Consider the following 27,924-nt stretch of genomic DNA (forward strand, 5'->3'; position numbering starts at 1 on the left):
GATAATAGCCATCCTAATAGATATTAAGTAATACTAGTACAGATTTTTTTGTTGTTGTTTTCCAGTGTTCCATCAGGTAGAATCTCAGCTCTCATAATTCTTTGATGGTCTAATGGCATTTTTATCTACTACTGTCTAGTACTTGTGTATTTATCTTCTCATCTAAATTTTAATCCTTTTGAGGTCGAGAATCTGGTTTGGTCTAGGGCTAGGATAACAAGTGTTCAGTAGGCATTTGTTGAATGCCTGATTTGGCTTTTAGCTTTGGAAGTGAATAGTATGAGCACTGAAGGTAAAACATTTGCCAGTGATTTTAATGAGAGGTTGGTTTTCAAGTATGAAATGTAGTTAGAATAGAGATCAAGAATTAGTGTACTTTAGTCATGAGAACACTGCTGAATAAGGTAAAGGAGAGAGTAAAAAGGGAACCTTCAAGTTTAGGCTGGGAAGGTGAAAGGAACCTGTGAATGCATCTCTCATTACTCCAAGAAGGAACTGTGATATTCTACAATATTGTGACATCTTACAATGTAATAGGATATTGTGATACATCTAGCCAGCTATCTGGATGCCTCCAGAATATACCCTCTTAATTGTTTCTATGCTGCCCATCAAAAATAAATAACTAACATTTTTGAGACTTATTCTTTGCCAAGTCCCATGTGTTACCTTCTTTCTTTCTTTCTATTTTTTTAGATGGAGCCTTACTCTGTCGCCCAGACTGGAGTGCAGTGGGGCGGTCTCGGCTCACTGCAACCTCTGCCTCCCGGTTTCAGGCCTCCCAAGTAGCTGGGACTATAGGCATGTGCCACCAAGCCTAATTTTTGTATTTTTAGTAAAGACGGGCTTTCACCATGTTGTCCAGGCTGGTCTTGAACTTCTGACCTAATGTGATCCACCCGCCTCAGCCTCCCAAAGTGCTGGGATTACAGGCATGAGCCACTGCTCCCGGCCTACCTTATTTCTTTACAAAAATCTATTTATGGCACCATTTTAGAGAAGAGGAAACAGACATAGATAGAATAAATAACTTGTAGGTGGTGGATCTGAAATTAGAGCCTAGGCAGTTTGATTCCAGTACCTATTCTCTAAATCACTGTGGTATTCTGCTTCTCCTTGAGTTTTTTTAAATTAAATATTTAAATAATAAAATATTTCATTTAGCACAATAGTACATGCATATAGTTTAAATAGTACTGAAAGGCTTGTAACAGTACAGTGGATCTCTGCCCCATCTCACCCAACTTTCCCAGTCTTCCTTAGAAGTAACTAGTTTTGTCTCTTAACTTTCTTCTGGCATTTGCCCATCTCTCTGTTTCTATTTTAGCCGTTTTCTGTGGATGACTGCCGGTCAGTGCCGCCCTCTGTTTTCCCTCCCCAGTGAAATTATTTTGTAATTCTTGGTCAAATATTCAGTGTTTACATTAAACAAATATTATGCACAATTGAGGATTGTCCCATATTTTGTTTGTTAGCTTTCTTTTTGCTGCAGTTATTGCTGCCCTTTAAATTTTTAGTTAGTTTTTTCTGTGATAATTTCTAATTTATCTCACGGTATGTAATAGCTTCTCCACACAGTTTTCTGTAATGTCAGCCACATCAGATACTTTCTCACTTAACTTATTTTTGCAGTTTTTATATATCCTCAGCTATGTAGATTGAACTTCAAGCTCTTCTTTTTGCCCTCTGCAGAGAAAACAAGCTTCAGTCTTCTGTTGAATGAGGGTAGGGTTGTTACCTACCACTGGATTAAGAGAGGGGATCCAGGTATCTAGCTACTTTTCAAACAGCAGCCACCCAAATCCTCCCTGGCTTAGGATACAGCTTTCTAGGGTCTCTTTAATTGATTATTACGTATCTATTTACTTTTCTGCTTCCAAAATTGTATGCTGTTATTCCTTTTCTCTGTGTCCTTGTGGGTTTCTGCTTAAAATTAACAAAAGCAAACAGCACATTTTTAAACTTAGTGTTAGTTAAGTTTGAAAGAGGAAGTAAGATTGGATAAATTTATTGTAGACATGTATGAAAATGTAGGTTATCAGAAATAAAAGAAATAAAAAGCCCTTATAGTAATATCACTAGCTAGAATGACTACTATTGTCATTTTGGAGTATTTCATTTCAATCTTTGTATGTGTACAAGCTGGGCAGGTAGTAATTGGATGATGCCATATACAGGTTTGAGCATCTCTAATCTGAAAATCTGACATCCAAAGCTTTTTGAGCACTGACATGATGCTCAGAGGTGATGCTCAAAGGAATGTTCATTGTAGCATTTGGGATTTTGGACTTTGAGATTAGGGATGCTCAACCAGTAAGAATAATGAATGCAAATATTCCAAAATCTGAAAAAATCTGAAATTAAGAACTCTTATAGTCCCAAACATTTCTGATAAGGCATACTCAACCTATATATTGCTTATGGGTTATCTTTTTTATGTTTGTTAGCATGCCAAGACCTGTAAATGCTGTTTTCACACAAACTGTTGTGCATTCATTTTCTGTTGTGGTCCATTGACATTTTCAGTCTATTTTTACTCCAGTACCACACCAAAATAACTATTTGAACAAAGAAGACTTATATGACAAACGATCCTTTAAAACAAAAAATACTATAACTGCCTTTATTCCAAGTGTTAATATTACTCTGTGCCTAGTGCTGATTTTTAAATTACTTTTACTTTATTCTGCCTTATTTCATCCAGCCTGCAGATGGCAGAATTGTTTCATTTGAACAGCAATTTTGAAGGCTCCGTTTTATTTAGTGTGTTCTGACATTGGAATGAGAAGTGATTAAATGAACAGTCTCTCTCCCTATTAGAGAAGAAGCAAATTAATGTTAGAGACAGGGAGCCACACTAAGAAAGTACTGGATAATTTACTTTTTCATTTGGTCTATCTTCATTTCATGATTTTTGCATGCTTGGATTATAAATGAACTAGAGCCTATAAATGAACTAGAGCATGATGTTTAAGCTGTACCATATGTAAACTGCTGAATTCCCTTAATTACTTTAGTCAGAGTAATGGAGCTTAAATCTGCTTCATATTAACCATAAAGCAGTTTGTTCTGCATTTGTATTTTAAGAGTTTGCTTGTATTAAATTTTTTTTTTAATCTAGAGACCTTTTAGCATTCATGAATCAATCATCAATTTAAAGCTTTGATATAATTGAGTTTGCTGAAGTATGAGCATTTTGTTCTTAGGATAAAAGAAATACTTTAGGGAAGAAGAAACTAGAATTAGATTAGTGTACCATATTTGAAATTGAAGTCAGAATTATGCTGTAGAAAAATTGGAAGAGCCCATTTGAGGAAATACAGGAATTGCTTAGAGGGATTACTGTAAAATTCAGTGATTGGTAAATTGCTCATGTAGCAGAAATGGCAGGGAAAACAGCAATAAGCTAAGCAAAAAATTTTAATGTATTGTGTCATTCTGTTGATGTAAAAAAAGAGTAAAATAGTTATGAGTCATGAGACTTTACTTTTAAAATCAGCAAGTTTAAATATAAAGTACTGGACCACATACATTACAATAGTCATTTAAAAATTTTTAAAAATGTTTTGTAACTGCTGTGGAAGGGTAGACTTCACAAGCCAATTAGATATAATTTGCTAGCTTTATAAGAAGGAGCAGAACACTGAAGTGACTACAAAACGTTAAATTTTAACTAAATTTTGAGAACTTTGTGAATACTAATTGAAAAACTTGTGTAATGAGTGCAGCAAACTACTTACCTGTAGTTGTGGGAAACTAATACTAGGAAACGTAATTGGTGCATATCTTAAGGCCTTCTTAATTTGACAAGAGAATGGTAGAATGTACAGCTTACTGGAATAAGGAGGGAGTCTGCATATAAGTTCAAATGCAAATTAATTAATATTAGGTAAAGGATAAAATTCCATTCCAAGGAGTCTAGAAAAGTCTACACTATCTTAGTAGAGTTGACAGCAGCCATAAAGGGCAGATATTAATTATGTGCAGGCCTGTCACTTCAAGTTTATCTTACGATTGTGTAATTACTTTCCCATCAGAAAAATACGTCTGGAAAAGATACCATATAGTGTTCTAATCAAAAGAGGGTATGCTAGAATGAAATATGTACTTTTATTAACACATTAATGCTTATGAAATGATTTTTCTAGCATGAAAGCCTGAGGATAGATTAGTTAGAATAACTACAAAATATATTGCACATTTAACTCTCCGTAATAAGCGAGTGTAATCTATCAAGAGATAGTATTGAATAATGGAGATGTCCAAAATATCTTTCTTTGGTTTTTGTCACCTTCATTTCAGAGTAAAGATAATGATCTACTACAGAATTTTTGTATTATCATAATTCAGATAAGCAATTTCAATTCATTTCATGAAGGGTGACTAAGGAACGATTATGTTCTTTTTATTTTTAAAATATGAAAATTTTTGAGGTTCTTGATGTGGTAACTTGAAAGATAATAATAAATGCAGAGGTTTCATAATATAGTCCTTAATGTCAAGAGTAATGGAAATGTGAAGGTCTCTTAGGTGAGAGATTATAGCAGGAGATAGAATCATAAAATAAATGTGAATTGTGTCGTGACAACTGGAACCAAAGCATACAAATATTGGAGAGAGACTTTAAGAGAATTAAGTTAGTATTTGTCGTAAATTGGAATCTGGCTATAGAAGCATTGAGGTCCATTTAGTTGCTTCTTTGAAATGGAACTCTTTGATATATAAATGTAATATGTATATATTTATGAAATATTCTGTTCATAATGCCTGGCTTGAACTTTTTGATAGAAAGAACACATTGGGACTTTTTTTTTTTTAAGCCTTTGTTTTCGAAAAGAGGCTGGCCTCTTACCGTGGTGCTATTTAAAAGATAAGAGTTTTTTTTTGCCCACCCCCCTCCTTTTTTTTTTTTTTCCCCAGAACAAGTGAGTTTGTTATTCTGAGCTTAACAAAATAAATGCTGAGGCTCAGGCTGACAGTACATTCTTTAAGCAACTGTTTTTGATTTTTTCATCAAGCCATGTAAAAAAGAAAAAGGCAGTAGACACACCACATAGTGTAGAGGATTAGAAAGCTCATTCTGTTATCTCCAAATGCATTCAGTGTGTTAAGCTTTATGCACGTTTTAAGAATTCTTGCAATTAAGTGTAGGATTGTTATGGTTTGGATTTGGAGATGCATCACTAATGTTATAAGTTTTCCTGTGTGTAAGAGAGTATGTGTGTATGTGTGTTTTCCAAGTGCACTTCCCTAATTTTAGTTCACTCAAGAATTTAGTTCTCCAGCATTTTATAGACAAAACATTATGGTTGTATTTAGTAGTTTGCATTATTTTTTACCTATTTAATATTTTAATCACAAGGACTTATTTTACTAAGTAAAAAATGCAAAGATTTTGAAAGCTATCTTCTAGTTATAATTTAGCATTTCAACTAGAGGTAGCTTGGGAATTCAGTGAAACTGTTTCAGCTACAGTTATTGAGAGTCATGGTGGACTGGAGTTGGATGGCTTTGTTCTTCAGTGTCTTCCAAAATAACGGTGTTTCGTAATTAGGAGTTAGGAAACTCATTGTGGCTATTTTTCCTCCTGTTTTTCATATATAATGCACTTAGAGATAACCTGTTCTCTTATGCATTTGAAATATTCATTGTCAGTAGTAAAAGTGGTATTTTTGTTTTGTTTTTCTCAGGCAGAGTCTTGGTCTGTTGCCCATGCTGGAGTGCAGTGATCTTGGCTCACTGCAACCATCTCCTCCCAGATTCGAGTGATTCTCATGCCTCAGCCCCCCAAATAGCTGGGATTACAGGCGTGTGCCATCACGCCTGGCTAATTTTTAAATTTTAATAGAGTGGGGTTTCGCCATGTTGGCCAGGCTGGTCTCAAACTCCTGGCCTCAAATCTGCCCACCTCGGCAAAAGTGGTGTTTTAATACAAGAATTCTGCATGTTCAAGGTGGGGAAAAGGCTTATAAGGATATTTGATTAGACATATGAAGAATGCTCACATGGATCTGATATGTCTGGTTTGCTATATTTGGATTTCTGAGTGAATATAAGCTATCAATAACCATTAATTAATTGATGATCCATATTTGTAAGGAACATTGAGATGTAAAGTTAGCACAGCTTTGAGAGTTTAGCATGAAGATTCGCATCCTGTAATCAGTCTGGATTGTGGTTTTCTCATTGATGAAATGGGCGTGTTTGACTTGGACTTTGGTTTGGGCTGTGTCATTTTTGGGGCATTAGGAGTGATAATTCTACTTTTCCAGCCTTCTTAGAATTTGGTGCCAGTTGAGAGAGAGAAAGGGTAAGACAGATAGAGATCAAATGCTGATAGTTACATTGGATTGGAGAATGTGACTTAGATCTGTGGCCTTCTAAGACTGGGCTTCTTAGTACAACCCCACTTTAGACTTTGAACTTTCTGTTTTAGAGGGAGACTGTGTGTGTACAAAGCAAACACGCATATCCGAATTGCTGCCTCATACCTGGTGGGCCCTGATGGCAAGAACACAGAGAGGTGGGGCCTGTGGAGCTGCTTTTGAAAGGCAGCGCCGTGTGTGTCTAGCACGTGGATGGAGGAGCTGATAGGAAACTGCAGGTTGTCTATGATCAGGAAGTTCTTAAAATAAGGAAGAGAGTGAGGCAGGTATGCATGCTTGCATTCTTTCTCCAGACCTTCAGAGTGAAGGAAAAGTGGAGAGGTACAGAAACTTTCTCTTAAATACTTCAAAGAGGTGGAAGCGCCTTTATCACGAAGCCATAGGAAATCTCCATTTGAAAATGCAGTACAAGTTATTCAGCTTCCCAAGAGAAATATTTATTCTCATTTAACATTAGTGCTCAATTTCCTTGCTTTTAACCCTAAAACATCAGGGGAGACAAAAGAAGCCCTGTTCTTCCACATTTGAAATATGTTAGCTATGCTACAGTGTTTTGCTTGTTTGGGTCTGGAAAGTTGAGTAATCTGAAGAGAGAATAGGGTCTATGGAAAGCTATAGGGGATGGACGTATTTGTTACCATGGTATTTTATTAGTAAATTGTAATCTAAAAGCCATGGTGCTCTTGAATGTAACCCTGGACGGTGGATTGGGAAGTGCAGCCGGACAAATACATAGTGTTTGCTTTTTCGATACCTAAGGAAAATGTAGTTATGTTTCATTGGGAGATCATTCTGGTTTGAGGTCTACTTCTCTGGATCCCCAGTTGAATTGTGGTATGCAACAAAATGTGAGGTTAATTTAACCATTTAAATTCTGATCATCCTTGACAAGGCAAACGTTTCCTTTCATACTTATTAGTAGGAACCTTTGAATCTTGAATACTATAATATTAGATGAAAATAAAAACAGCCAGTTTCTTAAAGTCTGATCTTGATTATTCTGTTGTCGATCATCAGAACCGTGTTTTTGTTGTTGTTGCTGTTTTGTTGTTGTTGTTTTATTTGGCTTTTTCTTTGGTCATTTTACCTGTAAATCTATTTTGCAGAAACAAAAGGGAAAGGAGGAGGTGAAACCTAAATCAATCCTAAATCAATTTTTCTCCTTTTTTTTTGACTTATAAGCACCTGGCTTGAGAAGATGCATAGAACACTGGGGAATTATGAAAACAGAGTTTAAAATATCCCAAAAAACACTTTTGTGGTTATAAAAAATTGAATTTTATGTTTCCATACAATTTACTGGAGACTTAGTTTACCAGTTGGGAATCTTTTAGACTTTGGAATACCTTCTTTTTCAAATTGAATTTGACGTTAATTTACTTGAACTTATATTGATGCCTCATGAGGTGCATTATTTGTTGTGGCTCATCTTTCCTTTTTTTCAATTTCAGGTGATCCCATTAAGATACTAATGCCATCACTGTCTCCTACAATGGAAGAAGGAAACATTGTGAAATGGCTGAAAAAGGAAGGTGAGGAGGTACCTTCCTAATGTCCTGTGTGCTTTGTTATTTGGTTATTTTGTTTTGTTTTTTTTTTTCCTAATCTGTCCTGTTATACAGTATGTGATATAAATTAAATAAATTGTGTTCCTTTGGTAGTTAATGTAAGTTTGGTTGAATAAAATTTTCCCATGATAAAGCAGCAAAGGTTTTCTGGGTTCAGCATATATCCTTACACAAGCACAGAATGGTAAAAAATATTTTAAGGCTTTTTCCCCAACTTTTAGTCCTTATGCCTAGCTTTTAGTTTCAACATCATAGTTTTGACATTCTCCTTAATTTATAACTTTATCATGATTGTGTGTGTGTGTGTGTGTGTGTGTGTGTGTGTGTGTGTTCTGGGAGGTAGGCAAGTTCATCATAAATTTTATTGAAAAGAACAAATAAGTAGAATATAAGGAAAACCCTCAAAAGCAGATCAGCGGAGGAGGGTTGTAGCCCTGCTAATTATTGAAATATAGTATTAAGCATTTCTAATTAAAACTCTGGGATTGGTGCTTAAAAGACAGACCAGTGCAGCTGAGTAGAGAATAAAGAAATAGATGCAGTTGCACATGGAATTTAAGTATATAATAAAGGAAGACAATATTAGATTTATTCTTTATGTTATGTGAAGGATAAATTACAAATGAATTATACACTTAATGTATAAAAATGAAACTATGCAAGTCTTGAATTCCTCTGAACCCGGAAGTGGAATAAACACCCTAACTATAACTCAAAATCCAGATTATAATATGGGAAATAAAATTTGATGGTAAAAGTACTAACTTTTATATGGCTAAAAATACAAGTTAAGTAAAAAAAGAAGTGACAAATTGGACAAGAGTATTTGCGATTTCTATCACAAAGGGTTAATATCCCTAAAAAATCGATAAGACTGTCAACTCAACAAGAAAGTGGGCGATACATGAACAGATAGTTTACAGAAAAATAATTGCAAATGACTCTTACACGTAGAAAAAGACGCCTAACCTTTCAACTGGTAAGAAATACGCAGACACTTTACTGAAATGTCATTTCTTACTGATTATATTGACAGTACTTAAAAAGTTCGACAAGCTGTTCTCTTGATGATGCTGTGGAGGGAAGGGAAGAAGCAGGACTCTCAGACATTGCTGGAGGAAATGCTAAATGGTGTAAATACTAGGGAAGAGAATTTGGCACTATTTAGAAAAATTACATTTATGTTTACCCTTTGGCCCAGCAGCTCTACTTCGAGGGATTTGTCTCAGTGTTACACCAGCAAAAATAAGAATAGACACAAACACACACTAGGCTGTTTATCACAGCACTGTTTGAAATAGCAAAAGGTAGAAACAATCCAAATGTTGGTTAGTACAGGATTTGTTGAATAACTTTTACTGTATCTACACCTGTAAAAAGGAATGAGGAATATCTCTTTATACTGCTATGGGGTGATCTTCATTGAAAAAAAGCAAGGTACAGACAAGTGAGTATAGTATATATCATTTATCAAAGAAAGAGGTGGCAGTGCTAATATTTAAGAAATTAGAAAGGATAAAATAAAACTTTAAAAACAACAATAGTTGGTTATCTACAGAGTAATGGAGGGAACCGTGTGGGGGAGAAACTGGAAGCTGGACTTCTGAATATATCTTGTTTTGTCTCTTTGACTTTGGGACAATATACATATCTTGCACAATTTTAAAACAAAATTAAAGTGTAAAAGAGCCCTAAAGATTGAAACGAGACAGGTGATTCTAATTCATTTTTTTCTCTCTCTTTTTCTCTCTCTCAATTTGCTTACATAACCATACAGAGAGGCACTATTTCAAATGTCAGATGTTTGATTATATGGCCCTAATAGATTATAACTGAAGGATAAAGCGTCTCCAAAAGTATAATCCTCAACTGTTAGAGTAATCGTATTATGCTTGTTATGTTGGTATTGTTATTCTAAGGCTTTTGTGTGTATTTTATGGGATAAAGCAAATGACTGGTTAAGATAATATCATTGGAAACTTGGACTTTTAGTGTAGTTTAAAGGAGAAACAGGTAAAAGTTTCTAAGGTTAGGAACGACCCTGTGATGGTAAATTTTCTAGCTCTTTCCCCTGGCAATGCCTGGAAACAAGGACCAATCCAGTCGCAGTAAGCACCCCTAGAACCCAGACTGTCTCTAAATATCAGTTCCCACTAAAGTAAATGAAGGCTCCTTGGAGAGTAGCTACTTGCAGGCCTAGGGCAGGAGATGTGCAGATGAGCTTTTAATATCTTGTCAGTTCAGAAAGCAAGGAAGCTGTCAGAAACTCCTGAGGGCATCTTAAAGGACTCAGGAGCCAGAGATGAGATAGTTTGAGGATCACTAAGGATAATAAGGATAATATATTTAATATATTTCAATACATTAAATATATTTGAATCCTAAGTTCACAGTAATACTAAAGAAAAAAAATTAATAATAATTGGTTAGCTTTAGAGGGTGCTAAGAAATTAACTCATTTTGAAAACGTAATAAATGGAAAGACTCAAGCATTTTTCTCTACCTCTTCTGCTATATGAACCGTAGCTCTGAGTAACCAAGTAATTGATGAGAAGTTTCTCATTATTAGCATATCACAGTTGTTAAAAGATAGAAGAATCATAGAACATCACTGTATTGCCATTTTGCAATCTCTGGTAAAATAGTATAGCCAGTGATCATTAATAGCTGCTAACATCACAAAAAGAGAGATAACCAGATATTACATGTTTCCCACTGTGAAGTAGTCTTGCCAGAAAATTGAACCAAATATGTTCAAGCCTGTAGCTCTATCATTTTCCAGGAAATACAGGGGAAAATATAACGTGTTCAATGACACCATGAGAAGTATATCAGCAAAAGCTAGACTGAGGAATTCTGTATGCCAGTTTCTTCAACCAATAAATTTCAGGGTGGTAGGGAAGAGCCCGGGGGAGGAAGGTGGGGGAACCTATAGCATACAAGAGATTTGAGACCAGTGCCAATGTATGGACCTAATTTTAATTATGATTCAAGCAAACAAAACACATGCGGACATTTGAAAACTGGCTGGATATTTAATGATATTATGGATTTTTTTTTTTTTTTTTTTTTTTTGAGACATGGTCTCACTCTGTTGCCCAGCCTGGAGTATAATGGCGCGATCTCTGCTCACTACAGCCTCAGCCTCCTGGGCTCAGGGTGATTCTCCCACCTAAGCCTCTTGAGTAGCTGGGACCACAGGCATGCGCCACCATGCCTGGTTAGTTTTTTGTATTTTTTTAGAGACAGGGTCTCCCTGTGTTGCCCACGCTGGTTTTGAACTCCTGGGCTCAAGTGATTCTCCTGCCTCGACCTCCCAAAGTGCTAGGATTACAGGCATAAGCCACCGCACCCAGCATAGGAATTATTAATTTTAAAGGTTTAATAATATTTTGGTTATATTTTGATTATTAAAAAAAAAAAATCTCACCTATAAGAGATGTGAGATGAAATACTTACGAATAAAATGACAGTATCTCTGGGATTAGCTTCAGAATAACCCTGGTTGAGGTTGAGAGGGTAGGGAGGGGTATAACTGAAACAAGATCGGTCATGAATCACTTGGCAGTTGTATAAGTGAGGTAAAAGGTATATGTGGCTTCATTGCCTTTCCTTACCACTTTTGTATAATTCAAAATTTATTTTTTATATATAAATTTTTTTAATATATTTTTTAAAGGTTGTGCATAGTGCTTTCAGGATATAATTTGAGATGAGAAACTAGTACCAGATGAATTGGAATGTTGATATTATTAAGAGAATATTTGATACAATACCATCTATAAAGCTGTATTATGTCACTGTTTCTGGCAACCATTTTGCCAGATTTTAAGTACCTAATATGGTGCTTAGAAAATAAAGACTATGAATAAAAGAGGTGAGTATGTTACAGTGCTTATACAGAAGGATAGAGGAACAGTTAATGTGAAGGAAGCTGGGCTTTTTGTTTTTCTGGCAGCTACTTTCTTTTCCTTTTCTTTTCCCCTTTTTCCTTTGCCATGTGTGGTGGTAGAGTCTCCCCTCCAGGTATTGGCCACTGGATAACCTCTTTTAGCACCCTATGTAGCTGTCTTTCTCTGTGCTTGATTCATTCTGTATCAGGTTAAACTATTGTGGAGGAAAGAGGATGAGTCTACAGTACCTATTAGGGATTGTTAGACAGAAAAATAGAGAAATTAGAGGTGACTGAATGAGTCCCCCACAGCCATTATTATGCGTCATCTGGAGCAATGGTGAATCAAGTGTTAAAAAGGGAAAGAAAGAAGGGAAGTGCAAGTAGAGAATGAATAACATGGTCTGGGGAGGACTTGTCTAATTCCAGAGACTAGCCCTGGCAAGGACTTCCAGGGTATCCTAATGTGATTTAGTAGGCACAGATGTCACTCATACAAATGTTGGTATTGAGTGGTCCAGTCTAGTGCTTGTAAAATAGTATCAAAAGAGTTTAGGCAGTGGGCAGGACACCAGAGTCTGGAAGAGCTGTGTTGTGATTCTAGAAGGTCTAGCCTTTCATAGCATCACTTTTGCCACTAATGACAGATGTGGGGATCAGGAAGAGGGCTAACAAGTATTTACTTGAGAACACTAGCCAAATGAGCTGGGGAGTTTGGGACAAGCAAGGCCTCACTTCTTTGAGGGAGTCTGGGGTGTAAGGAAAGGCAAGAAAAATTGCTGTGGGTTGAGCCACTATGGAGGTTAGGAGGTATGGTGCAGTGAGGTTATCCAAATGAACATTACTGGTCCTTGATAGACCCAACCAAGTCTGTTTGGGCATATTACTTAATTCTGTTCCTCAGTGGGGAATATGTCTGAGTTTGTTCATGTTTGTGCTTCCCATAATGACTAACATCGTAATTGGAATAGAACTGCAGTGCTGTAAGTGGTCAGTTAGTAAAGGTAATGGCAGAGGGGAAAGTAAGCCAAAAGCAGGGTACATGACAGGGATCCAAGAAGGCTTTGCAGATGAGGTAGTATTTGAACTGGTCCTTGTAGAATAAATGGGCTTTTTAAAAATAATGAGAAGGACATTCCAGCTAGAAAAACATGGGTAAACTCTTGGAAGAAAGATGTCACTGAGACATACTTTTGCAACAGCAGGTAGGTCTGGCTGCATTGGGGACATAATGGCTGTAAGATCAGATAGATTATTGGAAGGATCTTGAATGCCAATCTGCAGTTTATCAGTCTGTGAGGGTCCTTATCCTAAAGCCAAAATAGATCCACATTCATGGTTTCTTAATAGGAAGTGGTTTCTTTTCTTTTCTTTTTTTTTTTTTTTTTTTTTTCTGAGACAGAGTCTCACTCTGTCACCCAGGCTGTAGTGCAGTGGCCCGATCTTGCTCACTGCAACCTCCACCTCCCAGGTTCACGTGAGTCTTGTGCCTCAGCCTCCCAAGTAGCTGGGACTACAGGCGAGCACCACCATGCCCAGCTAATTTTTATGTTTTTAGTAGAGACAAGGTTTCACCATGTTGGCTGGTCTCGAATTTCTGACCTCAAGTGATCTGCCCACCTTGGCCTCCCAAAGTGCCGGGATTATAGGCGTGAGCCACTGTGCCTGGGCAGGAAGTGGTTTCTACATACTTTTCTGAGCCCTATTAGTAGCATTGCGTTGAAAGGAACAGACCCTAAGAGTAACCTGGTATGAGGAGATAACTGTAGGCAATTTAAAGTAGCCTCCTTTTCCTGCTCTCATTTGAAAAGCCAACACTGAGAACTCCTAATCAATGTGATAATCTAAACAGATGGGGTAAAGCATCTGCTCTCTATCGGATATAATATTATAAGTAAATCTTTTCAATGTTAAGTGGTGCTGGAATGCAGAGAAAGGAAATCACCAAGTGTCCCCACATCTGGAGTGGTGAATGGGAGTTGAGGCCATGTGCACCACTAGGGCTGAGCTGGAAGGCTGGAGTTGCTGACTTTTTTTTTTTTTTTTGGTGGCGGGGTGGGTGGAAGGAGCAAGGAAGGGAAATCAAGAATCAGATTAAAATTTGAATATGGTAAGATTTGAAATGCATATGAGGCATTCAAGGGAAGGTGTTCAATAGATAACTGATTATAGGAGTTGAAGTTCAGGAGTGAAGTCTGACTTGGAGACAGAAATTTGAGAGTCATCAGCATGTGGATGGAATTTAATGCCATGTGATAACAGGCAAAATGATTTTGAATCTATATGGAATAAGAATGCCTACTCCCCTAAAGAGTCCTCCTGAGGGTCAAATTTATAGAACTTGCATTTTCTGGGAACCCACAGATAGAAGTGAAGTTGTCCTGGGCTGATCGCCTCCCTGGGTTACCTGGTAGAAGCCATTATTCTGGAAGAATACAGCTTCTAATCCAAACCATACAGAATTTGCAGATAAAGTCTCACCAAAAGTCACAATCCCACATTTAATAACGTATGTGGAAGAAGTCTTTTAGGAGTGAAGTCAGTAGGCATAACAAGCAGCAGGACTGGATCCCAAGAACTTCAGTTAATTGGAATTACAAAAGTCCAGGCAGATTTGAAAAGGATAAACAGAACTTCTAGTAATGAAAAATATAGTCTCTCAAATTAAAACCCCCCAAACCTCAAGGGTGGGCTGAAGTGTGATTAGACAGGACTGAATGAAGAATTTGTGAACAGAAGGACGACTAGAGGAAGTTAGGTTGCATGTAGCACATAGAGACAGCACTGGAAAATATGAAAGAGAAGTTGACATATGAAGGGTAAAATGAAAATTATTCAATAACCCAATAGGAATTTCAGAAGAAGAAAAAAAGAGGGAAATGGGAAGAGGTAATTTTCAAAGAAAAACATGGCAGAGAATTTTCTAGAATTTAAGAAAGATATGTGTAATGTAAATGAAAGAGCCAGTACCCCATTGGAAAGCATTTAGAGCAATTGGCTCTGCATGGCTGCTGCTATCTTTTAAAATAATTGTCAGTATCTAAGAAAGTTTTACCTTTATAAATAATGTAATCAGTTGGAATGTGTTTTTAGGTTTCTTTTCTCTGATGAATTACAGAGCTTTGGCTATTTCCATATTCGATATGACAGGGTGTTGGTGTCATTAAATAATGATTCAGACACAGAACAGTCTTTTAGGGATTATTTTAAAAAGATTAACTTTCTTCACACTTTGAGAATTTATAGGTAAGCAGATGAGGGGATTCTTGGGCCACATTTATCTTTCAGACTTCCAGCTCACTGGCAATCTAATAAGTTATTCACACCCGTTAGAATATGAGCAGTAAGATAAAGAGCCAGCAGACATATGGTCTCATTATTCTGTTCTTTTTTCCTTTTGATTACAATATGCTATTTTCATGTAGGACAGGCCAGGATGTATTTTAAGTCCCTGGAGCATGTTTCCCTGAAGGTTGCTCTTAAAATTCTGTGTTCTGCCAACTGAAGGGAAATTTGTTTTTGCCAAAACACAGTAAATAATTGAGAGCAATCTTAATCCTTGGTTCTTAGTGGTTCACTGGCTTCTTTTTGAAGCTCATCACCTTTGTGATTTGTGATCTTTTGAGTATAATTGGCTGCTTTTCATTAACACTTATTTACTGTATACATGGGTGTCAATATATGTTTAAGTATGCCTGGTTCTTGGTACATTTATGATAACTTGCTCCATTCATTTTATATTAAAAACAAATTTATATTCTGACAGCATACTTTTCATATATTTTTTCTCTTATTAACTGTTTTTTGTTTGTTTGATTTTTGAGATCTTTTTAAATGTATGGTCACCATAAAACAATGAGTTTAAACCTTTATGCATTAAGAAAATTGATATTTTTCATGAAAAATGATAGTGTTGCATCGAATTATGAATCTAGTTTACTTCTAAGCGAAGACTAGATAAGTATTTGAGAACATTCAATGGACAGCAGTTCAGTCTTAAAAACCATTAAGTTTTTTCAAAGATCTGAGACTGATTCACAGCTTCTTTTACTAATGGTGTGTGTGTGTGTGTGTGTGTGTGTGTGTGTGTGTGCACTTGCATGCGCGCAGCGTTTTACACCAAGGAGGTAAGGGTGCAAAGAAAAAACTCTGGCCCAGGAATCATGGTTTTTCCTTTGGGGTTCCTCCTCTGCCATGAACTACCTGGGAGTGAGTTGAACTAGCTGAAATCTAAGGTACGGAATATCCTGGATTTATAATTCTATGATAACTCATTTTTATTTTCTTTTTTTAAGTAACTGAAATATGCAGTATTATAGCATATAAATTATTTCCGTCTTTGTTGAACTCATGATTCTAAGAAAATAAGTTTTATAATGACTATTAGAGTACTTCATTTCAGTCTGAGGATTGACTAAAACCTTATATATCATAAAATTAGTACAGAAAATGCTCTGAAAGTGCTAGGTAACACCCACAATTTCAAAATCTTTTGAAAGGTCAATTGAGCTATCATTTGGCATTTTTATTACAAGTTTTTTATTTGGAGGGGGCATGTGCTTCAGATATTTTCAGTTTAAACTGCACCTAGTTTATTTTTTCATCAATTGAACTGTCAAATCTGTTAAAATAACAGAAAGGAAAAAAAATTCTTGTTCTCCTTTTGTAAGAGAATATTTGAGGTTATGAAAAACCTTGTTTTTTTTCCTCAGAATATTTGAGATTTTTCTGCTCTGCCGTGAAGCACTATGGAACAAAACCAGGCTAAGATAATTCCATCAAGCACTTAGCCACACCCACAGTGCCTAGAATGTACGTAGTAAGCATGCTTAACAGTGGTGCTTGTTGCTGCGGTATTCCTTATGTCATGAGACAAGGGATTTTTTTGTATTTCAAATAGTTTTTGTCTAATATACTGTTACTGTATAAAATTCAGAAATAAAACCATTTTGAAGAAAGCCTTATCCTATATCACTAGATGCCACTAGAGAGTTATATGGGTCTCTGGATTCTACTATAGAAGACACTTTGGTTCCGTTATTTCTGGCAATATGTATATGTTTGTGGTGCTAAAATGGAAAATTTTGAAAAGTCCATTTCACAAATAGCTTCCTTTTTTTGGTGTACTATGGTTTTCACAGCTTTATTGAGGTATAATTTACATACCATAACATTTACCTATTTTAAGTATTCAATGATTTTTAATAAATATATGGAGTTGTGCAGCCATCACCACAATCCAGTTTTAGAACACATTTCTGTCACCCCAAAAAAGATCCCTGCTGCCTGATTGCAGTCATTTTTTTCCTCCCATCTCTATCCCTAGACAATCCGGATCTGTTTTTTGTCTCTAAAGTTTTGCCTTTTGTCTATGTTTCATATAAATAGAAGCATGTAATGTTTGGTCTTTTGTGACTAGATTTTTTCAGATTTAGCATGATTAAGGTTCATCCATGTTGTAGCATTTATCAGCTGTTCATTCCTTTTGTTACTAAATTATATTCCATCATTATGCGTTTTTACATTTATTGCTAAATCTTTGTATTATATCAGAATTTTTAAATTAGTGAATGGAATTATAGATTATAGTTTTATTCAATAGAAGTTTCTGTGGTGATGGAAATGTTCTGTGTTAAACTGTCGAATACAGTAGCTACTAGACTTTAAGAAGCCAGAGGGATGTGTGGGTGGTTGACCTTGTCTAACTGGGCCCTTCTCAAACTCTCCTACTCATGCCTTCACCCCATAGGGCAGGACCTCAACTGGCCTAGCAACCAGGTTGCCTCAGGTCTTTGGCCATGCAAATATTATCCTTCTTTGTGTGTGTGTGAAGTGAAAAGGGATGACAAACACTGACTAGGGGTCCCTCCTCTACATTCCCATTCTGCTGTAGGTACTAATTGGATGGGATTGTCATTGCCTGCTTGTTGTACTGTTCTTCAATCAGATTAGGAACTTCTTGAAGCAGTTCTGTCTTATTTTATTACTATTTTTATCATAGTGTCGCACACAGTGTCATTCACATGGGCAGCTAGTAAATACTTGTAGAGTCAACAATTGAATTATTTTTGTTTCTGATTATTGTTATCATTATGGTTCAACATAGCACTAAGAAGAGGAATTTTTCTTTAATGTTCATGTTAATCTGATAACTTGGTCTTACAGATAAAAACTAGCTCTCTTCCACCACCACCACCACACACATCTTTTACGTAAAGACTTTTATTCTTAATTTTTGGCAGAACAAAATTATTTTGTGAAAGCCTCAGGACTTATTCTATTAATAAAATAAACATCACCATTAACTGTGTTTGACCAAGGCTATGCTTAATATCTAGAATTTAAAAAGAGAAAGGGAAGCCTCCGTATACTTCAGTCCTCAGCTCTGGCAGCTGCCCATCGGACAAAGGAACAGGACGATGATGCTGGCGTCGGTGCTGGGGAGCGGCCCCCGGGTGGGCCTCTGCTCTGGCCCCTCCTGGGGCCCGCACTCTCGCTCTGGGCCCGCTCCTCTTCCGCCACTGCCATGGACCACGAGAAGATGGTGCAGGAACACTCCAGGGCTGCCATCTCTTTCTTCAATCAGTCAGCTATGAACCTGACAGCTGAGAAGCCATCTGTCATCTCACGCTGTCCAGGACCCTCTATCCTAGCTGCTGAGTCTTTTCCACTCTTCTCCACTTTAAACTCTTTGTGGACAGAACCTTCTCTTTTTGTTGTTTTCATACCCAGTGCTTAGTACAGTGCCTTATACATTAATGTTTGTTGGATGATCTGGTAGAAATGACAGAATATGGAATAAATGTGTCCTGATTCTGGTAGAAATGACAGAATATGGAAAAAAACCGTATCTTGATTCAGGTAGACATGACAGAATATGGAATAAATGTGTCTTGATTCAAAATGGTTGTATAGCTAACATTTTATTTTTACCTAGAGATGTTGTAAAGTGTTACATAAAGATGTATGTGAAGCATTAACACTTCCAGCCCCATGACTTAAAAAATATATATCTATACATTTAAAATTTTCCTGAGAGTCAGAGAGATTAAGTAACTTGGTCAAGATCACTAGTAACTGTCAGAGCTTGGAATCAAACTCATATTTGAATTAGGAGAGGTTCCTTGTAACTACTCTGCCAAGGAGTCTTTCTAAGTTATAGCACTAAATTTTTGATCACAGCTGAAACTCAGTAGATTTGAAATATTCATGGCTCATTATTTGCTCTCAGAGTTTTCTTTTGGCATTTACATGATGTTTGATTATTGAAAGATAGAACTTTGGTTTTGTGATGAGTTAGGGGTAATGCTTCCATACGTAATATTACTATGTTTTTAAAACTTCCCTGTGATTTATTGGTAAAGTGTTCTGTGTTTCTTTTCCCTACCTCCCTCTCTTTTGTCCTCTCCTTTTTTCCTTCTCTCTCCTCCTGCTTTTCTCTTCTACCCTCTCCCTTGGCATTCTCATCTAGCTAACATATATGTCTGTGTTATGTGAATAGATATAGTTTTTTAAAAAAGAAAAAAAGGCTATCTTTTTAAATATCAGAAGCATGCTACAAATCAAATGTTAGAAGCAAAAGAAATGTAAAAGATAATTTGATGTATACCTTATGAGGAAATAAGGATTCGTGAAGTTATCATGTTTTTTTCTAAAGCATTTTAATCTAAAATTCATTGGGTATGGTGCATTGGCCATGAAACCTGAGGAATGGGGATGGGAATATAAAACATTTAAGTGTCCTGTCCGTATTGTGAAGAAGCTCATAGTCTAGTAAATAGAGGAAATCACAATTTAAAAAAGTAATTAGCAGTAATATAACATTTTATATGCAATTTGTGATTTTTAAATAAATTAGACCTACTATAGGAATCTGGAATATGAACAAAATTATGTAGGTCAAGTTACTCAGAGAAAGTTATATAGCTGAAGTCGAATCTGTAGTTCTTAAAGTGTGGTTGGAATTTGAATACTGATGAACACAAATGATGATATAGCATCATTTTGTTTTTCTGTGGCTAGAGTCTGTTTTCTAGGCATCTAAGAGGTATTTAATTGCTGGGTTTACTAGTTCTATAGTTTTTCCCGTGATTATAGCAGAAATCTTTGAGGGTGTGCTTTTTTTCCCTTTTGAAGTGCAATCTGTTTTAACCACTAAAACATTTAAAGAAGTATGTAAGATGATATAATCTGACACTGTAGCTTTCTCTATGACATACAAAGGTCATTTTTGGTCTCTTCCTGCATATCTTACCAGCCTAATCTCTCGTCACTTCTCTCGCATACTATTTGCCAGTTTCTCTGAAGTTTCCTGTTCTCTCTGCCTCCAGGGCTATAAGTGTATTACCTTCTACCTGGATCACTGCCTGTTTACAGATTGTCTCCTCCTCACCTCTTCAGGCTCAGAATAGGTGGTCATTGTATTCTAGGAAGCCTTTTCTCACCTTACAAAAACTGAATTAGATGCCCCTCCTGAACATTCCCAAAGCATCCTGACCTCACCTTATCCTGCTGTATTTTCCAGTTTACTTGTCAATGGATATTAAGCAAGCTTCTTGAGGTCAGGAATCTTAAATCTTTGCTGTTATTACTGTCCACTGCTGTATCCTCAGTGCCTACATATGTATATATATTTTATATGTAATATATAAATATATAATACAAATATGTGTGTGTGTGTGTATATATATATAAAATATATTTATATAATTATTATTATTTTTTAGACAGAGTTTTTGCTCTTGTTGCCCAGGCTGGAGTGAAATGGCATGATCTTGACTCACTGCAACCCCCTTCTCCCAGGTTCAAGTGATTCTTCTGCCTCAACCTCCCGAGTAGCTGGGACCACAGGTGCCTGCCACCTCTCCTGGCTAATTTTTGTATTTTTAGTAGGGACGGGGTTTCACAATGTTGGCCAGGCTGGTCTTGAACCCCTGGCCTCAGGTGATCCACCCACCTCGGCCTCCCAAAGTGATGGGATTACAGGTGTGAGCCTACACGCCTGGCCACCCCAATACATTTTTAATAAATGTTTGTTGACTAGGGACATCTCTTTGGAGTTAGACAAAGGACCTTTTAGGTGGTAAATAAATATCATCTAACATATCAATTTATTTTTAAAAATAACTTATATTAGTGTCTCTGAACTATTTAACCTGAAGATATAACTATCAATTTGATCATCTTGGTACACAATGAAGTACTTTCTGTACTGTGAACGTTCAGAGCATATTTGTTAATTTAGTGTTTTAGATTTTCTTTCATATTCTCTTATGATGCTTGCCTGTTAATATTGCTATTCCAGCTATTTTTGGTGTGTGAGGAGGTGTATTTATATGTTACATATTTTTTATCCCCTTGTTTTTTATTCTGTTTTTGTGTTAGGGCTATCTCTTGTAAGCTACATTTACCTAGATTTTATTTTCATATCCATTTTGATAATCTCTACTTTTAATGGGTGATTTTAATCCATTTATATTTATTGTGATTACGGATACATGGGGACTTATTTCTACCATTTTTTGTGCATTTTTGTTTTTATCCTTTGCCTTTTCTTTCCATGTGCCTGCCCTCAGTTAGATAATCAACTTCTTATTTTTCCTCTGTTTTTCTAATGCTGTAGATTATATTTCTGTTTTTAAATTTTAAATTAAATTTTGCCAATAAAGTTTAGTATTATTCAGTATTTTTCTCCTATTATAAGTTGATGCAAAAGTAATTGGGGTTTTTGAAAGTAAGGTGGTAAAAATAAAATTACTTTTGCACCAGCTGAATATATCAAAGTTGTTAGCATGCCTTACCATCTAAACATTTCCTTACCTATCTTATTATTTTTTAGAGTTTGAGTTTTACACTTTTTAAACCCTCAAACATTACTTTAAAAATACTAGTAGTTAACATTTTAGTAATTTTCACAATAACTTGTTTCTTATAGCCCATGGGTTCCATCTGCTTCCACTTTTCTTCTTGATGAACTGCATCTTGTAAGAGCTTTTTAAAGAGATCTTTAATAGGTGGTAAAATTTCCTAGCCTTTATATATCTAAAGAATACTTCTCTTTCATTCTCAAATGATGGTTTGGCAGCATACAAAATTCTAGACAGTTATTTTTCCTCAGTTTTTTGAAGATATTACTTCATTGTTTTCTGACCTCTGTTGCAGCTGCTGAGAAGTGTACTCTCAGTCTTTCCATTGAGGTAATCTGTTTTTTTTCCCCTTTGATAGATTTTTAAAAGATTATGTTTTTATCGTTGATAGAATGCGGTTTCTTTACATTGTATCTAATATGGATTCATGTTTATATAGTCTAATACTCTTTTTTCTGTTTAAGTTTTTATCAAGGTATAACTTGCATAAACTTTAGGCTCAATTAAATTTTGTATACATGTATACCCATGTTACCACCACCTAGATCAAGATTTAGAACATTCTTAGCAAGCTACACAGATCCGTATGCCCCCTGCTAGTCAGTACACCTATCCTAAATTCATTCAAAACTCTTTGATGATGAGAGTATACATCTCCAGTTCTGGGAAATTCTCAGCCACTAATTCTTCAGGTATTGCTTCTCCACCAGTGCCTCCAGTGTCTTCCCTCAGAACTCCATTAGCAAACATTGCAGCCTCAGTCTTTGTCACTTAACTGCTCTTTTCTGTTTTTTCGTTTTGTTTTGTTTTTTGTTTTTAATGTTTGTATCTTTTTGTCTGCCTGTATGAAATTCTGCGTAGTTCATTAGTGCTACCTTTCAATTTACTAATTCATACCTTCACTATTCCCTGTCTAGAATATATTCTGTTGTTTCTTTTTATTTCAATTACTTAATTTTTCATTTTTAAGATTTCTAATTCGTTTTTTTATTTCTACCTGATACCATTTTTTTTTAATTTCTTGTTCTTGTGATGGCTCTTTTACTTTCATTTATGTTTTTGGATGTCCTCAAGTACTTATTTTACAATCTTTGACAGATTGCACTAAATAAATTGCTTCTGAAAAGAATTTTTGTTACAATTACTGATTTTGTGGCTTGCTTTCTTAGCTTTTGATTTCTTCGTGTGTCTCAGAACTTTCTTGTGCAATTTACTTTTAAGTGGAAAGTTTATGTTTTAATGTCTTCCCTCCTACGCAGTCCCCCCTCGATCCTTGCCACCATCCAAGGAATTTTGCAATTGATATTGGGGATATTGGCAGATACAGCCCCGGAGCCAGAGGGTGGCTTGACTTTGTTCCTGGTACTGAGGCAGTATTCTGGTCCCCACCTTCCTAGACCCATGGTTGCTGATTAAAATCATAGTCTCAGTCAACAGGTTTTGATTGTGCATTTTATCAGCCTCACATTATGAGTAGAAGAACCCTGACTTAGCCCTAGCTCCAAATAGTGAATCTGATTTGAGTCCCCTATATCCAACAGACTACTTTTAGTTCCCTTTAATCCCCAAAGGAAACTGTTGTACCTCTTTTCCCCTGTTTGCTCCAAACCTGCTCCTAAATCCAGAAGCTAGTAAGCCTGGAACTTCAGGTCTTCCTCCATATTTTTGAGTTTCCAGATATTTTCTGTTGCAGAGAAATGATCTGTATTTGACTTCAGTTGTGTCTTTGATTTTCTCTTTTTATGCTTTATATGCTTTATTCATTTATACTGTGTGCTGCCAACAGGTTTTTTGAACTTGCCCTAAGATGTGAACCCAGAAGTACTGTTAATTGTAAAACTTTTCTTCAGGGAATATAGTCAAAATGTTTGAAAAAGTAAGGGGGATATGGAGTCTGGAATTGATTTGTTCAGAGGTGGATACACATTTGTTGCTGATGTCTTTAAGGTTGATTTCATTTTTACATGCTCAGTAATCTTTGTAATAGCTTTTTTATTATCACAAGTATAATTTATGTCCATTATAGAGCTTTTGGAAATTACAGCAAAGCATACACATACACACACACACACAAACACCCACACATAATGAGAATTACTTGTATTTCCACAACCCAGAAATAGCTACGGAATATTTTGGTATTTATTTATGTTTTATTCATACGTACATATATACATAGTAATATTTATATTTTAAAAAACAAAACAAACCCAGTCTTGTTTTGTAGGTGAAGCGGTGAGTGCTGGAGATGCATTATGTGAAATTGAGACTGACAAAGCTGTGGTTACCTTAGATGCAAGTGATGATGGAATCTTGGCCAAAATCGTGGTAAGTTTTTATTTTAATTTTCTTCAACAGGATGAAGATTTCTTGAGTGGAAAGTTCATTGTAGTAAAATTACCTTTTATTTTTGCCTCCTTATTTTTAATGTGTATTGTCTACTACATAATACATTTTTAGTTCAAGTGTTTAAAATGTTTTAGAGTTAAGGTCTAATAGCCTATTTTTCTGTATTTTCTAAATTTTCTGTAATGTGCGTTATTTTTATAATGGAATATTAGAGCTTATGTGAAAAGTAAGTGAAATAAAATGCGTAGAGCTACATATGGTAGAAACATGACTATTTAGCATTGTGTGGTATATTCCCTGATTGAGCCAACCAGCGTGTTTGTTTCTTAACTTCCAGAACCTTTACTAGGTAGTATGGTGGAGCATCTAAGACTGTGGACTCTGGAATCACCCCGCTGACTGATTCATGTTATATCTAAAAAGTTCTGCCAGTTATTAGTTACGTAATGATAAGCAAATTCTTCATCCCCTGTGCCTTTTTCTTCATGTTAAAGTAGAGATGATAATAATACCTACTTCATAGGACAGTAGGGAAGATTGAGAGAGTACATATATGCTCATCTCAAGACCTGTTACCCAATTGCTCAATAAATGTTACTTTTCCCATTATTAGAACTGTTTCCTCAGCTCTTGGTGACCATTAGTCCCCAAGTCAGTCTGTATGTTTGCCTAATAATTTGTATTGGTTGGTTGCAACTGGATAATAAGTATCCATTTGTGCCTCTGGAGTTCAATTTGTACAGATGAGCTGCATGTCTATTAGCAGTCCCTTGTGGATGTGTTTTTATTTCTGAGCCACCAGCTTACCTCTGCTTTGAGCATAGATGTAACACCTTCCTTTGTATATTCTATTCAAAGACTACACTTCAGAATGCTATACTCTAACTAGGTGCAAATCTAGAGACAATTTTTTATTTGTTTTTCTTTCTAGAAAATCCTCTTTTCCTTTTTTTTTTTTTTTTAGCCACTTATGTTGTATTTTTAACTTCGAATATGTCAAACTCCTTTACTTGTCATCTCTCATATTAGATACTAGATATAACATTCCAGGTTGAAACATGTTGATAATACAGTTAACTTCCTTGTAGGAATATGAATCAAAGCCTAAAATTTCTGTACATTTGTAACTAGGAAAATATAAATATTCATACCAAAAATAGTTTTCTTGACTAATTTATGCAGCATATTGAAACAGATTGCTTGAATTACCATGTAATAAACCCAGCTACATTTTATTATGTGTGCTTTTGGCAAACTGTGTTCTTGGCCCCAATTCTGGATTGTTTGGCTGTGGAAATCTTCCAGAATTGATAGCATTTTTCCACTTAGCTGCTTAGTAATACATTTCAAATTGCTAACCATGTCAGTGGGTCAGCAGTGCCAATTCATCTGGCCCCTATGCTCTGAAAAAGGTTGGGAGTGGGAGTGCATATAGTTGATAGTGGCTTTGGTGGCACAGCTATTTTCTTGCCAAAGAAAAGACTGTATATTTTAGGCCTTTGTGGCTTTATTATTATTCCACATGCTTTTTGGATAATATTTGGGAGTCTCTTCACAACAAGATGTTGCAATTTTATCAGGGACAAACTAGTAAATCTTTTTTTCTTCTGTTTTTTGTTTTTGTTTTTGTTTTTGTTTGAGATGGAGTTTTGCTCTTGTTGCCCAGGCTGGACACGATCTTGGCTCATCACAACCTCCGCCTCCTGGGTTGAAATGATTTTCCTGCCTCAGCCTCCCAAGTAGCTGAGATTACAGGCATGTGCCACCACACTCAGCTAATTTTGTATTTTTAGTAGAGACGGGTTTCTCCAATTTGGTCAGGCTGGTTTTGAACTCCTGACTCAAGTAATCTGCCCACCTTGGCCTCCCAAAGTGCTAGGATTATAGGCGTGAACCACCATGCCCTGTCAAAACTAGTAAATTTTGATACAAAAATACTTCAGTTATTATACATTTAAAGATCAGTTCATCAGCTTATTCTTAAAGTTAGTATTTAGCAAATTGAACAGCAGCTGTTTTAAATGATAAATTAATAAAGTAGAATCTTAGGATGACATATTTGGAGGGTTTATTAGAGGTTCTCTAATTTGGCTTCCAGTGTATTTGGGGTTGCTATATAATTTGGCACACCAATTAGGATATTTGTGAGGATGAAAAGGGTATAAGATGTCAAAATTATTTACATTTATGTAATGTTTGCAATGTATTTATTGACTAGCAATATATTTATTGATAGATTTTTATTGATAGACCATTATTCAAAACAATTTTCAAAAGTAGAATTTTTTCTAAAAAATAGCATCCATGGATATTAAAACAAATTTTTTTTAAAAAAATGGTTTTTTAATTGATCATCTGAATACTAAAAATAGCAGAATAATTATTCTCGGTACTATTCACCTTCTTCAGTTGGTTTCTTCACTTTATCTCACTCAAATACTGTCATTGGTATTTTTCTAAAGAATACATTTTTAAATATTACTGTATTCGTTAGATACCCCTTCCCCACCCTTATTTTTTCATTAAGTTGCCCACAATCCCATTCAAAGTTGCCTTTTAATGGTTTGAAAGTTTATGGTTGAAATTTGAAGTTGTAGAGGCTTCAAATGATTCTTCTGTCTAGACCGTGATATTTTTAATTGAGAAAATAGCCTCTCAGAGCTCAGAGCAGTTCTATTAAATGGAAGATATTCTCAACTCTAATTTTTTCTTTTTTTAATGTTTGTTTATTTATTTATTTATTTTATTATTATTATTATTATTATACTTTAAGTTTTATGGTACATGTGCACAATGTGCAGGTTAGTTACATATGTATACATGTGCCATGCTGGTGTGCTGCACCCATTAACTCGTCATTTAGCATTAGGTATATCTCCTAATGCTATCCCTCCCCCTTCCCCCCACCCCACAACAGTCCCCAGAGTGTGATGTTCCCTTTCCTGTGTCCATGTGTTCTCATTGTTCAATTCCCATCTACGAGTGAGAACATTCGGTGTTTGGTTTTTTGTCCTTGTGATAGTTTACTGAGAATGATGATTTCCAGTTTCATCCATGTCCCTACAAAGGACATGAACTCATCATTTTTTATGGCTGCATAGTATTCCATGGTGTATATGTGCCACATTTTCTTAATCCAGTCTATCATTGTTGGACATTTGGGTTGGTTCCAAGTCTTTGCTATTGTGAATAGTGCCGCAGTAAACATACATGTGCATGTGTCTTTATAGCAGCATGATTTATAGTCCTTTGGGTATATACCCAGTAATGGGATGGCTGGGTCAAATGGTATTTCTAGTTCTAGATCCCTGAGGAATCGCCACACTGACTTCCACAATGGTTGAACTAGTTTACAGTCCCACCAGCAGTGTAAAAGTATTCCTATTTCTCCACATCCTCTCCAGCACCTTTTGTTTCCTGACTTTTTTTTTTTTTTTTTTTTTTTTTGAGACGCAGTCTTGCTCTTTGGCCCAGGTGGGAGTGCAGTGGCGCAATCTCGGCTCACTGCAAGCTCCGCCTCCCGGGTTCACGCCATTCTCCTGCCTCAGCCTCCCGAGTAGCTGGGACTACAGGCGCCCGCCATCACGCCCGGCTAATTTTTCTGTATTTTTTTAGTAGAGACGGGGTTTCACCGTGTTAGCCAGGATGGTCTCGATCTCCTGACCTCATGATCCACCCGCCTCGGCCTCCCAAAGTGCTGGGATTACAAGCGTGAGCCACCGCGCCCGGCCTGTTTCCTGACTTTTTAATGATCGCCATTCTAACTGGTGTGAGATGGTATCTCATTGTGGTTTTGATTTGCATTTCTCTGATGGCCAGTGATGATGAGCATTTTTTCATGTGTCTTTTGGCTGCATAAATGT

At 36.1% G+C, this 27,924-nt stretch overlaps 1 protein-coding gene and 1 non-coding gene across 5 annotated transcripts in view; both read left to right on the forward strand.

Annotated features, from left to right (window-relative positions):
• PDHX (pyruvate dehydrogenase complex component X) overlaps positions 1-27,924 on the forward strand; it is an 80,209-nt gene that overhangs the window by 7,647 nt on the left and 44,638 nt on the right. For all 4 annotated transcript variants that reach the window (XM_011520390.2, NM_001135024.2, NM_003477.3 and 1 more), the window contains exons 2-3: positions 7,838-7,918; positions 23,940-24,040. In XM_011520390.2, the coding sequence (XP_011518692.1) occupies positions 7,858-7,918; positions 23,940-24,040 (162 nt within the window). In that variant the 5' untranslated portion in view covers positions 7,838-7,857. The remainder of the gene's footprint in view (positions 1-7,837; positions 7,919-23,939; positions 24,041-27,924) is intronic.
• On the forward strand, positions 18,271-18,354 carry MIR1343 (microRNA 1343). The gene has a single exon (NR_039836.1). It is a non-coding gene; the product is annotated as a microRNA 1343 (primary transcript).

This window comes from Homo sapiens, chromosome 11, assembly GCF_000001405.40.
Source record: "Homo sapiens chromosome 11, GRCh38.p14 Primary Assembly".
In the NCBI taxonomy this organism is placed as follows: Eukaryota; Metazoa; Chordata; class Mammalia; order Primates; family Hominidae; genus Homo; species Homo sapiens.